Source organism: Homo sapiens, chromosome X (assembly GCF_000001405.40).
Source record: "Homo sapiens chromosome X, GRCh38.p14 Primary Assembly".
Taxonomy (NCBI): Eukaryota; Metazoa; Chordata; class Mammalia; order Primates; family Hominidae; genus Homo; species Homo sapiens.
Window position 1 is genome coordinate 17,723,358 of NC_000023.11, and position 12,949 is coordinate 17,736,306.

The window sequence follows — 12,949 nt, forward strand, 5'->3', positions numbered from 1 at the left end:
ATGGTGCAGACAAGAGTTTGAGTTCCTCACCTCCCCTCTCATCATTCTAGTTGTGATGGGACTGCATGTAATGTTGATAATGTGATTATGGAGAGAGAAACTAACAAGCACCATGGTTTGCCCTCTGTGTTTACAAAAACAAACCTATGGGATAAAGACTGGCAATTCCAGCTTTACAGTTGGTATAGAAGGTGGATCCATTTAAGTGCAGAACTGGGGACTGCCTTGTATGTTTATTTTATATTGAAAAGACATCTCATGCTAAACCAGAAAGCATTCAGTTTAGTAAATAGAAGAAAGTAGACAGAGTTGGGTGATGATTTAAAAAAACAAATCCTTAGACTGTTGAGTTTCCTCACAGCAAAAGAGGTGTGTGTGTGTGTGTGTGTGTGTGTGTGTGTGTGTGTGTGTGTGCGCGCGCGTGCGCGCATGGGGAATGCAAGAAGGTTTGGACCATAAGAGATGGAGGGAACAAAACCTCACAAAGACGGCTTTTAATGAAGAAATGGGTCAGGATATGTTAGCTGAGCTAATTCAGGTTATCATCCTGGCTGCTGATTTACTATGCAAAGGTATCAGCTTCAGAGAGCCCAGAAATAGATCAGTAAATAGTAGTAACTAAAGGTTATAAATCCTTAAGGAGCCATTTCTATGTGAGAGGGATTTTTTGGATGTCTTTTTCTCTTCTCTTTCTTTTGATTTTTCTTCTTTGCTTGTTTTTGTTGGCAGTGCAAACTGTTGTGGAGAGCTGCATTTAGAAGTAAAGCTTAATGTACTGCAGCATAATTTAAATAAGAGCTGAATAACAGCTCCCTTATATTTGTTCACAGGCTTAACCCAAACTCTTTCCTTACTTCCCGTCAAAAATATCACTGTGTTCCAAGTAAATGAAAATTTGTTTGCCATTTCTAAAGCTAATGAGACCTATTTGTGGGTTGCAGGAGTTGGCTTTGACAGAGAGGCTAGTATACGCTGCTCTCTGGTTCATTCACAATCGGTACTACAGCGGAGACGAAAATTGAGGAGGAGGAAAACCATCTCGGGTATCCCCAGAAGAGTTCAACAAGAAATAGGTGTGATATCAAAAAATGTTAATGGTTAACATTCCTCCGCCTAGTACAGATGATAGGGAGATGAAATAGAAAAATGATTAAACATTTTAACTTGTAGAGGTTTTAAAATGGTGTCTATTTGTTTTGTATTCAGCAAGCCAGGTGGTATTACTTTTTAACTCTTTATTCTTGACTGTGAAGATTTGACCTTATAGATTTAGGCATATACATTCAGGTCTTACGGCTGAAATGTAATACTTAGCTGATTTTTGAAAGTTTTATTAAGGTAGAAATTGTGAATAAAAAGTAGCAGGAGTCAATGAAAGTTTTCTTTTTGGAAAATTGTAACTTAATTTAAGAGAGATATACTTTCATGTCATTAATTATTTTAAAAGGTAAATTCCAGGCATATGCAATGAAATATTGAATATTGATAATATGATACCTTTGGTGACAATGTTTCTGTTTAGTGGATTTAAAATATCTCTGCCTATGATTTTTAAAAAATTATTAGGGTATCATCTCTTGCAAATAAGATTTTTATTTCTAATAATGAGACCTATGATTTTTATTTCATCATGTTTATATTACAAAATAAAAATGAAGAGTAGTGGCCAAAAAGATAAAATGTACTTTAGTTTTTAAAAGTAGTCACTTATTGTGGCAAATTAACGTGATAGTGAAGAGAGGGATAATTCACAAAAGACATAAAAGCATATCTTCTCTTGGTATGTATATATACATATATGAGGGGGACGTGTATATACACCCTAAAGCATTTTAACTCTCACCTAATTCTATATATTGATTTTTTTTCTGTTAAAGAAAAAAAAAAACAGCTCTAACCTGCCAGCCCACAGATCTACAGACATAGCTCAGAATGTCTGTTGGTCTGCTGATATAGAAAATATCTCACTGTGCTTTCCATGTGCCCTAGATTCTGATGAATCACCAGTGGCCAGGGAAAGGAATGTGATTGTGCACACAAACCCAGACCCCTCCAACACTGTCAATAGGATATCCGGAACCAGGGACTCTGAGTGCCAAACCGAGGATATTCTGATTGCTGCCCCATCCAGAAGGAGAATCAGAGCTCAAAGGGGTCAAAGCATTGCAGCTTCCCTTTCTCATTCTGCTGGCAACATTTCTGCCCTAGCAGACAAAGGTGACACCATGTTTACTCCTGCAGTGAGCAGCCGCACAAGATCTCGGAGCCTTCCCCGGGAAGGTAATAGAGGTGGGGATGCTGAGCCCAAAGTTGGCGCTAAACCCTCAGCATATGAAGAGGGAGAGTCTTTTGTGGGTGACCATGAAAGAACCCCTAATGATTTCAGTGAGGCTCCAAGCAGCCCGAGTGCCCAGGACCACCAGCCTACTTTGGGCCTGGCCTGCTCTCAACATCTTCACAGCCCCCAGCACAAATTAAGTGAGAGGGGAAGGTCACGTCTGTCCCGAATGGCTGCTGACTCTGGCAGCTGTGACATCTCCTCCAACTCAGACACGTTTGGGAGCCCCATCCACTGCATCTCCACGGCTGGCGTCCTCCTTAGCAGCCACATGGACCAGAAAGATGACCACCAGTCATCCAGTGGCAACTGGAGTGGGAGCAGCTCCACGTGCCCCTCGCAGACCTCAGAAACCATCCCTCCTGCAGCTTCTCCTCCACTCACTGGCTCTTCACACTGTGACTCGGAGTTGTCACTAAACACAGCCCCTCATGCCAATGAGGATGCCAGTGTTTTCGTGACAGAGCAATACAATGACCACTTGGATAAAGTGAGAGGCCATCGGGCAAACTCCTTTACCTCCACTGTTGCAGACCTGCTGGATGATCCCAACAACAGCAACACAAGTGACAGTGAGTGGAATTACCTACACCACCACCATGATGCCTCCTGCCGCCAGGATTTTAGTCCTGAGCGTCCCAAGGCAGACAGCCTGGGCTGCCCAAGCTTCACAAGCATGGCCACTTATGACAGCTTTCTGGAAAAGTCTCCATCAGACAAAGCGGACACTAGCTCTCACTTTTCAGTAGACACGGAAGGATACTATACCTCCATGCACTTTGACTGTGGTCTCAAAGGTAATAAGAGCTATGTCTGTCACTATGCAGCCCTGGGCCCAGAGAATGGCCAGGGTGTAGGGGCTTCCCCTGGTCTTCCAGATTGTGCCTGGCAGGACTACTTAGACCACAAGAGGCAGGGAAGACCAAGCATCTCTTTCAGGAAACCAAAGGCAAAGCCGACCCCACCTAAACGTAGCTCATCATTGAGGAAGTCTGATGGAAACGCAGATATTTCTGAGAAGAAAGAACCAAAGATAAGCAGTGGTCAGCACCTGCCTCACAGTTCCAGGGAAATGAAGCTGCCTCTTGATTTCGCCAACACGCCTTCTCGAATGGAAAACGCCAATCTTCCCACCAAGCAGGAACCTTCTTGGATAAACCAGAGTGAACAAGGCATTAAGGAACCTCAGTTAGATGCTTCGGATATTCCACCATTCAAAGATGAAGTTGCCGAATCCACACACTATGCAGACCTCTGGCTCCTAAATGACTTGAAAACAAATGATCCTTATAGATCTCTATCTAATTCAAGCACCGCTACGGGTACCACAGTCATTGAATGCATCAAATCTCCAGAGAGCTCTGAATCCCAAACATCACAATCAGAATCAAGAGCCACCACCCCATCTCTTCCTTCTGTTGACAATGAGTTTAAACTGGCTTCACCAGAAAAGCTGGCTGGCTTGGCATCTCCATCAAGTGGCTATTCAAGCCAGTCTGAAACGCCAACATCCTCTTTCCCTACAGCTTTCTTTTCAGGTCCATTGTCTCCCGGAGGTAGCAAAAGAAAACCTAAAGTCCCAGAAAGAAAATCCTCACTACAGCAACCCTCTTTAAAAGATGGAACTATATCACTGAGTAAAGACCTTGAACTTCCAATTATACCTCCTACCCATCTTGATCTAAGTGCTCTTCATAATGTCTTGAACAAACCATTCCACCACCGTCATCCACTGCATGTTTTTACTCATAATAAGCAGAACACAGTAGGAGAAACACTGAGGTCGAATCCTCCACCGTCCCTTGCAATTACACCAACGATCCTGAAATCTGTTAACCTTAGGTCCATCAACAAGTCTGAAGAAGTTAAGCAAAAAGAAGAAAACAATACAGATCTCCCTTATTTAGAGGAAAGCACACTCACAACGGCTGCCTTGTCTCCAAGTAAGATTAGGCCGCATACAGCAAATAAATCAGTATCTCGTCAATACTCCACTGAAGACACCATACTGTCCTTTTTAGACTCTTCTGCAGTTGAGATGGGACCAGATAAACTACATTTAGAAAAAAACTCTACTTTTGATGTGAAGAATCGCTGCGATCCAGAAACCATAACATCAGCTGGTAGCAGTCTTCTAGATTCAAATGTCACAAAAGACCAAGTGCGTACAGAGACTGAGCCTATTCCAGAAAACACGCCAACCAAAAACTGTGCTTTTCCCACAGAAGGATTTCAGAGGGTCTCTGCTGCCCGCCCAAATGATTTGGATGGTAAAATAATACAATATGGACCTGGTCCAGACGAAACTCTAGAACAGGTACAGAAGGCACCCTCTGCAGGTCTGGAGGAAGTTGCACAACCTGAATCTGTGGATGTAATCACATCTCAGTCAGACTCACCAACTAGAGCAACAGATGTAAGCAATCAATTTAAGCATCAATTTGTTATGAGCCGCCACCATGACAAAGTGCCTGGTACTATCAGCTATGAATCGGAGATAACATCTGTAAATTCATTCCCTGAAAAATGTTCCAAGCAGGAAAATATTGCTTCAGGTATTTCAGCCAAAAGTGCCTCTGATAACAGCAAAGCAGAGGAGACCCAAGGAAATGTGGATGAGGCTTCATTGAAAGGTCAGTCACTGATAACTTTGTCATAAAGGAAATGTGTCTCATGGCACTTCCTGGAATTTTTTCTTATGTTCCCAATAATACGGTACAGCCCTGGGTGTTGGTTTCCCTCCACTATTTCTTTGCACTTATTAAAACAATTGAGATAAAAGCTTTTGTTACTGGGTGAGTAAGCTTTGACAGGTATCTCTCTCATTTTTAAAAAATGGCAGCAAGGTAATTTCTGTTTGTTTGTTTGTTTGTTTGTTTGTTCCCTGAGTCAGTGAAGTACAGTAGCGTGCTGGGTAACTTCCTCTTAAAGATTCTTCTGTTCTTATTTTAAGAATCATCACCGAGTGATGACTCCATCATTTCACCACTTAGTGAAGACTCCCAAGCTGAAGCAGAGGGTGTGTTCGTGTCTCCAAACAAACCTCGAACAACTGAGGATTTATTTGCAGTCATTCACAGGTGAGGCAACATTACCAAGTCCCCCAAAACAAAAGGTACAACAAAGGTTTTGCCCCTTCAGGTACTTCTCACAAATGCAAATACAGGAAAGCTTTTTGTAATTGTAATACATTCAGCAAAAACAAAAGCAAGCAAAGAATAATTTTTCCAAATCAAGTTGATAGACTGATATGCAAGTTGGGAAATAGGATCTTTATATAGAGTTTGATAGACCTCGATTGAGAGACTTTTGTAAGAGTGGCTTTATTTTTCCCCAGGAAAAGACATTCTGGAACAAGTTTTTATGTGAAAACAATCTGTGGTTAAGTGACTTGGAGTGAAAGCTCAAACTCTAGTGTAATCTCTGACTTTTGAATACTTTCTTGAACCTAAAAAATATGATCAAAGCTGTAGTCATACACCAGCAGAGACAAACAGAAGTTGATTCACCATGGATGCACCAAAATCTCAGAAATCACCACTAAAGAACTTATTCATGTAACCAAATACCACCTCTTCCCCCAAAACTTATTGAAATAAAAAATAAAAAACTCACATTGTACCCTATAACTATATACAATTATTTGTCAGCTTAAAATAAAATAAAACTTAGAGAACACACACACACACAAAGTTGATCACAAAACAGTCTCAAGTTTGAGAAAAGACAATACGTGTTCCTGTCCATTTTATAGCTCAGAACAAGTAATAATTTCTCTGTTTTTCTTTCTTCTTAGAACTTAAATTTCTTTAATAGTACTGGCCTTCATCCCCAAAATTAATGCCCATATTCCATGAATACAGGTCTTTTGGGTTGCTTTTCCAGGACAGTGTTGTGTCCATGCTGCAAAGGCATATTTCCTCATCTGCCCCCATGAGCCCTTGTGATCCATGGTCCATATTTGCAAAAATTATTCCTTATAGCTAATGACCAAAGAACAGAACAGGAACTAGCCCTTGGACACCTAATCTACATATAACTGAGCTAGCCAATCATGATTTGCCATGCCTCCTCCTTTCACAAACACAACTGTCTTCTTAGACCTCGGGAACCTAGATGGAACTCCCAAGAGATACAACTTGGGGATTGTCTTTTCTACCTCATAAAGTTATCATTTTTGAAACAAATTCATCGTAAGCAGCTTACAATCTTTTTCTCCTGGAATTCTACTTTTTATAGGAATTTCTGTTTTCTGTTGATGTGGTTCTCTCATAAAGAAGGAGTACTGCTGTTCAACAATTGTTTTAAAAGGAGCCAATCAGAAACACCTTCTATGTATACCTTAGCAGGCATACTTCTCTACTCAGAGGGTGAAGAACCATTAGTTTCTTTTCCTTCACCCCTGTGCCTAGTCTAAGCTCTGATTATATTTCCCTCACCCCCACAGTTTATCTTCAATCCCAGGAAAAATTACTAAACTGCTATGTAAGTTAAAAAGTTACTCCCAAAGGACCAAATGCTAGTGTATGGAATAGTGGACAGGACGTAAATAGTGGGGTCAGAAAGACCTGGATTTGAATCCCAACTCTGCCACTTCCTATGCAGTCTTGAGTAAGTTAAAACCTCTGGACCTACTCCCTTATTGCACATGGGAATGCCTATAGCTCACGTATTTGATTTTGATGATAACATTTTTTGTGTTTAGAATATGGTAGGTGCTAAAAGCCATTGTTAGTTTGAAAGCCCTAACTTAGTGGAGTGCCAGACACTGCCATATACAAGATATCAACCACAGAGGTTTCTGTGAACCAAAATCAAGCATATCTACACTTGTGAAGTTCACATTTTCTCTACCATATGAATCTTTAAGTTGATGAAAGTGCATGCTGCCTATCAATGAACTGAGTCATACTGAAGATCCACCAAATTTATGCCTGCTGATTTACCAAAGAAAATCAATAATATGATGATGGGAGTCAAGGTTCAATAGATGTATTGAGTTTGGTAATCTTAGACTTGCATTTGTGCAGGGTTTACTTATTTATCTATTTACTTGTTTATTTACATCACAGCAAAAAGAATTATTTTGTTTTCTTGCGAGCTTACAGTATACAAAGCTTTAAGAGCTCCAGAGATGGTCTGGGATTTCAATTCCCCACAGAGAGCTGGCTTACTGCTTAATATGCTCTTGATGCTCTTAGGAAGCTATAGGAAATGATACTTGCAGCCCAAGATGAATTGACTTAAAACGTCATTTAATTATGTTTTTATATGGAGGGATTTTAAAAGGTAGAATAGTATAATGTCTGCTGACATATCCATCATCCAGGATTATCAACTGTCAAACTAGGGCCAATCCTGTCCCACCCACACCTCCATCCACTTGCTTTCTCTGGTATTATTTGGAAGCCAATCCCAGACATCAGATCATTTCATCTGTATTGCAGAGACAGAGTTAATAAGAAAAAGTTATAGTCTTTCACCCCCTGGAACCAGAAGTATAGTTTAGTTAGCAGTATAGTTTCTTCCTTTTTTTTTTTTTTTTTTTTTTTTTTTTGAGGCAGAGTCTTGCTCTGTCGCCCAGGCTGCTGGAGTGCAATGGCGTGATCTCAGCTCACTGCAACCTCCGCCTCCCGGGTTCAAGTGATTCTCCTGCCTCAGCTTCCTGAGTAGCTGGGACTACAGGCATGCTCCATCATGCCCGGCTAATTTTTGTATTTTTAGTAGAGACGGGGTTTCACCATGTTGGCCAGGATGGTCTCGAACTCCTGACCTCAAGTGATCTGCCTATCTCGGCCTACCAAAGTGCTGGGATTACAGGTGTGAGCCACTGCGCCTGGCTGTTAGCAGTATAGTTTCTTAAACTTTTACAAAGTATCCTCTAGAACCTCTAGCCTCCACATTAGCCATTATCTGAAATGATCATCTCTAGAACCTAATTTGTGTCCTGGTTATCAGAGAATTTCTCTCAGACTGTGGGTGCTACAAGGACAAGGAACATATCTTACTTTTCATCTCTATAGCCCTAATGCTTAGTATCCCATCATATAGGACAGGCTCAAAATGCACTTTAGACAGATGTGTGAATGCGACTGAATACTTCAGTTTCATAAAAACGTGAACTGAGTGAGATGTTTGCCCCATTTTCTCCTTTTCTCAAAGATCCAAGAGGAAAGTACTTGGAAGAAAAGATTCCGGGGACATGTCTGTTCGAAGCAAATCGAGAGCTCCCCTCAGCAGTAGCAGCAGCAGCGCCAGTTCCATCACTTCACCCAGCAGTAATGTGACAACCCCCAACAGCCAGAGGTCTCCTGGTCTCATATACCGAAATGCCAAAAAGTCCAACACATCCAATGAAGAGTTTAAGCTGTTACTGCTCAAGAAAGGCAGTCGCTCAGATTCTAGTTACCGCATGTCTGCCACTGAGATCCTGAAGAGCCCCATACTGCCCAAACCTCCTGGGGAGCTCACAGCAGAGTCCCCTCAGAGCACCGATGATGCCCATCAGGGGTCACAAGGGGCTGAGGCATTGTCCCCACTCTCTCCATGCTCCCCACGAGTTAATGCAGAAGGCTTTTCCTCGAAGAGCTTTGCCACCTCAGCATCAGCAAGGGTTGGACGTTCTCGGGCCCCTCCTGCAGCCAGCAGCAGCCGCTACAGTGTCCGCTGCCGGCTGTACAATACGCCCATGCAGGCAATCTCCGAGGGAGAGACGGAAAATTCTGACGGGAGCCCACATGACGACCGTTCCTCCCAGAGTTCAACATAGACTGCCTGTACCAGGCTGCCTGGCAAAGGCCAAAACCCTTACTCACATGAGGATGGAGGAACAGAACAGAGGACTTGGGAAAAGTCTCAACTTGATGGGGTAGCATCACTGCTAAGCAATGAATGAATTTCTAAATACAGTATGTGCTGGGTAAACAGAAAGTGGTTTAGACATTCTTGATTAGTTTCCATATTTTAAGTAGCTGCAGTCTTTCATGTTTTTCTTTAGCATAGTTTGATTTACGCAATCTCCTTCCTTGTGAAAATAGAGGATACAAAATTGTCTAATTTTCATGACACCTAGAAAACGTTTTCCCAGAGCTGCCTATTCAGAAACTAAAGCCCTCACTGTCATTATTCTTTAAGAAGATGAAATTACTCTGGATGTTTGGTATTTTTTTACATTAAAACAAACTAAAGCAAAATTTAGAAGAAAGAACTACACATATGTAAATACCATATTTTTGATAAAAATGTGTAAATAGATTTATCAATGATGAGTGGACATGTGGTCAATTATCTACTGCACACCAACTGTTTATAGAATACACAAAAATAAAATGTAATAACTGTATTCTGTGAATACCATTTTCATATCAAATGCCATATTTAAATGTCCACCAATATGATTTCTGAGTGGTAAACCTCAAATATGAATTTTAAACTGGTGAACTAAAGGAAATCTTGAGGTCATATACTGAAATATGAATAAATTAAAATAATGAATTCAGATCTAATCATTTTTATGACAAATTGCAGCACCAAACAAACTAATAGCAACCCATGGCTGTGATTTGTTGTGTGGTAATTTGGACAGAATGAAAAGCATGCTTTTGATTTTTTTTTTAATCAGTGAGAGAAGTCATCATTCTCAACACAAAGCCCTGAACAACAGCATTTGACAGTGTCCTTTAGATTTTAATTTTTTCAATGGATTGCTTTAAAGAGAATGAGTAGGGAAAATAGTAGTTAATTTTAGGTTATGTTTTATATTAGGCTACTGGGGACATAAACGGTCATAACTAATGACTGTAATCATTAAACTCCTTAAACAGTTTAGAAATTAGCTCCAGGTTCTTAAACTAACAAAAATAAAACCTAAGCATGCCACAGAGCTATTGATTAATCAGTAAGTACCTGTAATGAGTTTTCAGTGAAGCTTTCTCTCTGTGCTGATGAGATTCATGCTACCTAAAAATTAACAGAAATGACACTGTGAACAATGTAGTTGGAAAATAGGTATGTGTATATGCATTATTTATACTCATTGTTAAACTGGGAATGGGGAACAGCTCTGGTTCACAATACTACATACAACTGAGTTTTTGTCTGGTTTTACTATAGTGTCTGCTTGATGGCAAAAGGGGAGGGTGGAGGGTGGGAGAGGAAATGTCAGGGCATGTGCTCTGATAAAATAAAGGCAGGGAAACAAGCTGAATTACTTGAAATTACTTGAATTTTCTTGTCTTAAAACTGAAAAAAAAATGTAGTTACACGTTAAAATCTGCAAATGGTTTTTACACCTCTGATTTTAACATGAACTTATACTAATGTTTGGAATCTTATGTCAGAAATATAAGCAGCTATGTACTTAGAATAGGTTTTGAATGGGAGAGGTAGAACAGAGAGAGAATTAAGAAGGGATCTGACTTATAAAAGACTAGAATGTGATTAGAGTGATAGAACATACCAATGTTACCAAGAAATTGACAAGCTGCTGGCTTTAAGCTTATGCAAGTGGTAGTTGGGAAAGTAGGAGGTGTGGAAGAGGGTTTGCATTTTGGATTAATTCATGCAAAATGAAGGAGGAAGCCTGGTCTAAGAAGATACTGTCTTTCAATAGAAATGATTTCTAAACTGCTACAGATTAAGAATAGATAATCTGATTGCTGTTGTTTTGTTTGTTTGGAAAGAAAAAAAATGTCTGGCTTCTTCTACTATTTGTTTTCACTACCAAACTGTGTTACTAAATTTCTTGTCATCCTTGTATGTAAAATGGGTGCTGGGGGTGGAGGGGTATAAGAGGAGGGAGAGTCAGAGAGAGTGTGTATGGGTGTGTGTGAGTGTGAGTGTGTGTGTACGCACACACACTGGGGATAGATAAGCTACCTGGTAAAGGGTTTGAACATTTACAAAATGTCACACTTTTTCTTAAAAGAAAAATATTTTGGGGTTTGAATAAAATGGACCACCATTTCTCATTGGAACCCATTAATTAAGAAAACCAGCATGGTTTGACACCACATGGGAACATGAATAAATCTGTCTCATGATTTGAAAAGTACACCTTGCAAAGTTTTAAAAATAAAGTTTTTAGGCAAATGCGATAAGAAACCGTCATTTCCAGTCACAGTAGGCGATCTTTCGTAATTTCATAAAAGCAGTTCGTTTGCAGTATGGCTTTTGTGTAGTTAGGGGTTTTTTAAGTGTGAAGAAAGGTATGTGGGCTTTAAAAGTGATTCTAAATCTTGAATAGAAAACACATGAATTGGCTTTAATAAAAATGTCACCTTTTTATTATTGACATTAAGTAATGGTACCATATATTTTTTAAAATACATATTGACTTGAATTGTGAGGCAATAAGATACCTTCTATATGTAATGATCACAGAACTAACCCTTATAATATAGTTTTACTTATTTTGTTTACTCTAAAAATCTATAGCAGAGTTTCTCTATTTTATATTTCATAGATTTAAAAAACCCAAATAAAGATGGATTTAAAATTCACTGTGGAAAAGAGTATTGAGTTACAAACTGAGAAGAAAAAGCAGGAAGTTCCCTAATAATCTGGAATATTCTACATGGCTTGATTACATAGCAAACAAGACCAAGATTTAGGGCTGTCTTTAACATCACTGCCGTCTTGAAGCAGGGTACACACGTTAGGTATTGTGAAGAACATCAATCCGAACTTTTCTTCTGTTGTTTGCACTGATGCGATTTTTTGTTCTTTTATGTTTATACAACGTATCTATGTTGTGTAGGGGAAATTTTTTCATTTTTTAAAAATTCTACTTTGGTTTTGTTGTTGTTTTGATTTGTTTTTGGCTAAGTAGAGGACATGGACTAGTTGTAGCAAACAGAACATGCTGTTTGCTCTTGCCAAAGGTCAGTGAGTGAGTGCATTTGCTGCAGTGGTGGCACGTAGAGAACTAGATGGTAATAAAGATTTAAAACTATGAAGAAGGTTACAGTGTAACTATTTTGGTACTAGAACCAGTTCATGCTGGCCGAAACGACAATGGTTTATGGACTTGCATCCATTTTGTATTTTTGTAATATTTGTAAATATGAACTTTTTAAATTGCTGCAAAGATGGTTTCTTTTGTAAGATGTTTTCAACGTTTACATTCAATCCAAGCCTTTGTATATTTTAGAGCTGTGCAACACTTTAAGTCTTGTATTTATTTTTAGTAAAAATGGTGACAGTTTCATTGTGAACCCCTCTCAAAAAAAATGTATCAGAAAAGTTTGATTACCTAGAAAGTGTGTATAGAAACTGCAAATAAACGTGACTGCAATTAAACAACCGGTTTCTCTCTTCACTGTTACGTAATTGATTTCTTGGGGCTTCGCAACAGTGTTTTACAGGCAACAGGACATAAGGGCAGGGTCTGTTATGGCAAAAGTAGGAGCAAAAAGAACATAGACCAGCCTGTCCAACATGGTGAAACCCGTCTCTACTAAAAATACAAAAATTAGCTGGGCATGGTGGCAGACGCCTGTAATCCCAGCTACTCTGGAGGCTGAGGCAGGAGAATCGCTTGAACCCAGGAGGCAGAGGTTGCAGTGAGCCGAGATCACACCGCTACACTCCAGCCTGGGCAACAAGAGCAAA

The 12,949-nt window shown here is 39.8% G+C and overlaps 1 protein-coding gene across 6 annotated transcripts in view; it reads left to right on the forward strand.

The window, feature by feature from the left end:
* The window catches only part of NHS (NHS actin remodeling regulator), a 360,795-nt gene extending 348,158 nt beyond the window's left edge, over positions 1 to 12,637 (forward strand). For all 6 annotated transcript variants that reach the window (NM_001291867.2, NM_198270.4, NM_001136024.4 and 3 more), the window contains 4 exons: positions 942 to 1,073; positions 1,990 to 4,971; positions 5,292 to 5,418; positions 8,501 to 12,637. In NM_001291867.2, the coding sequence (NP_001278796.1) occupies positions 942 to 1,073; positions 1,990 to 4,971; positions 5,292 to 5,418; positions 8,501 to 9,107 (3,848 nt within the window). In that variant the 3' untranslated portion in view covers positions 9,108 to 12,637. The remainder of the gene's footprint in view (positions 1 to 941; positions 1,074 to 1,989; positions 4,972 to 5,291; positions 5,419 to 8,500) is intronic.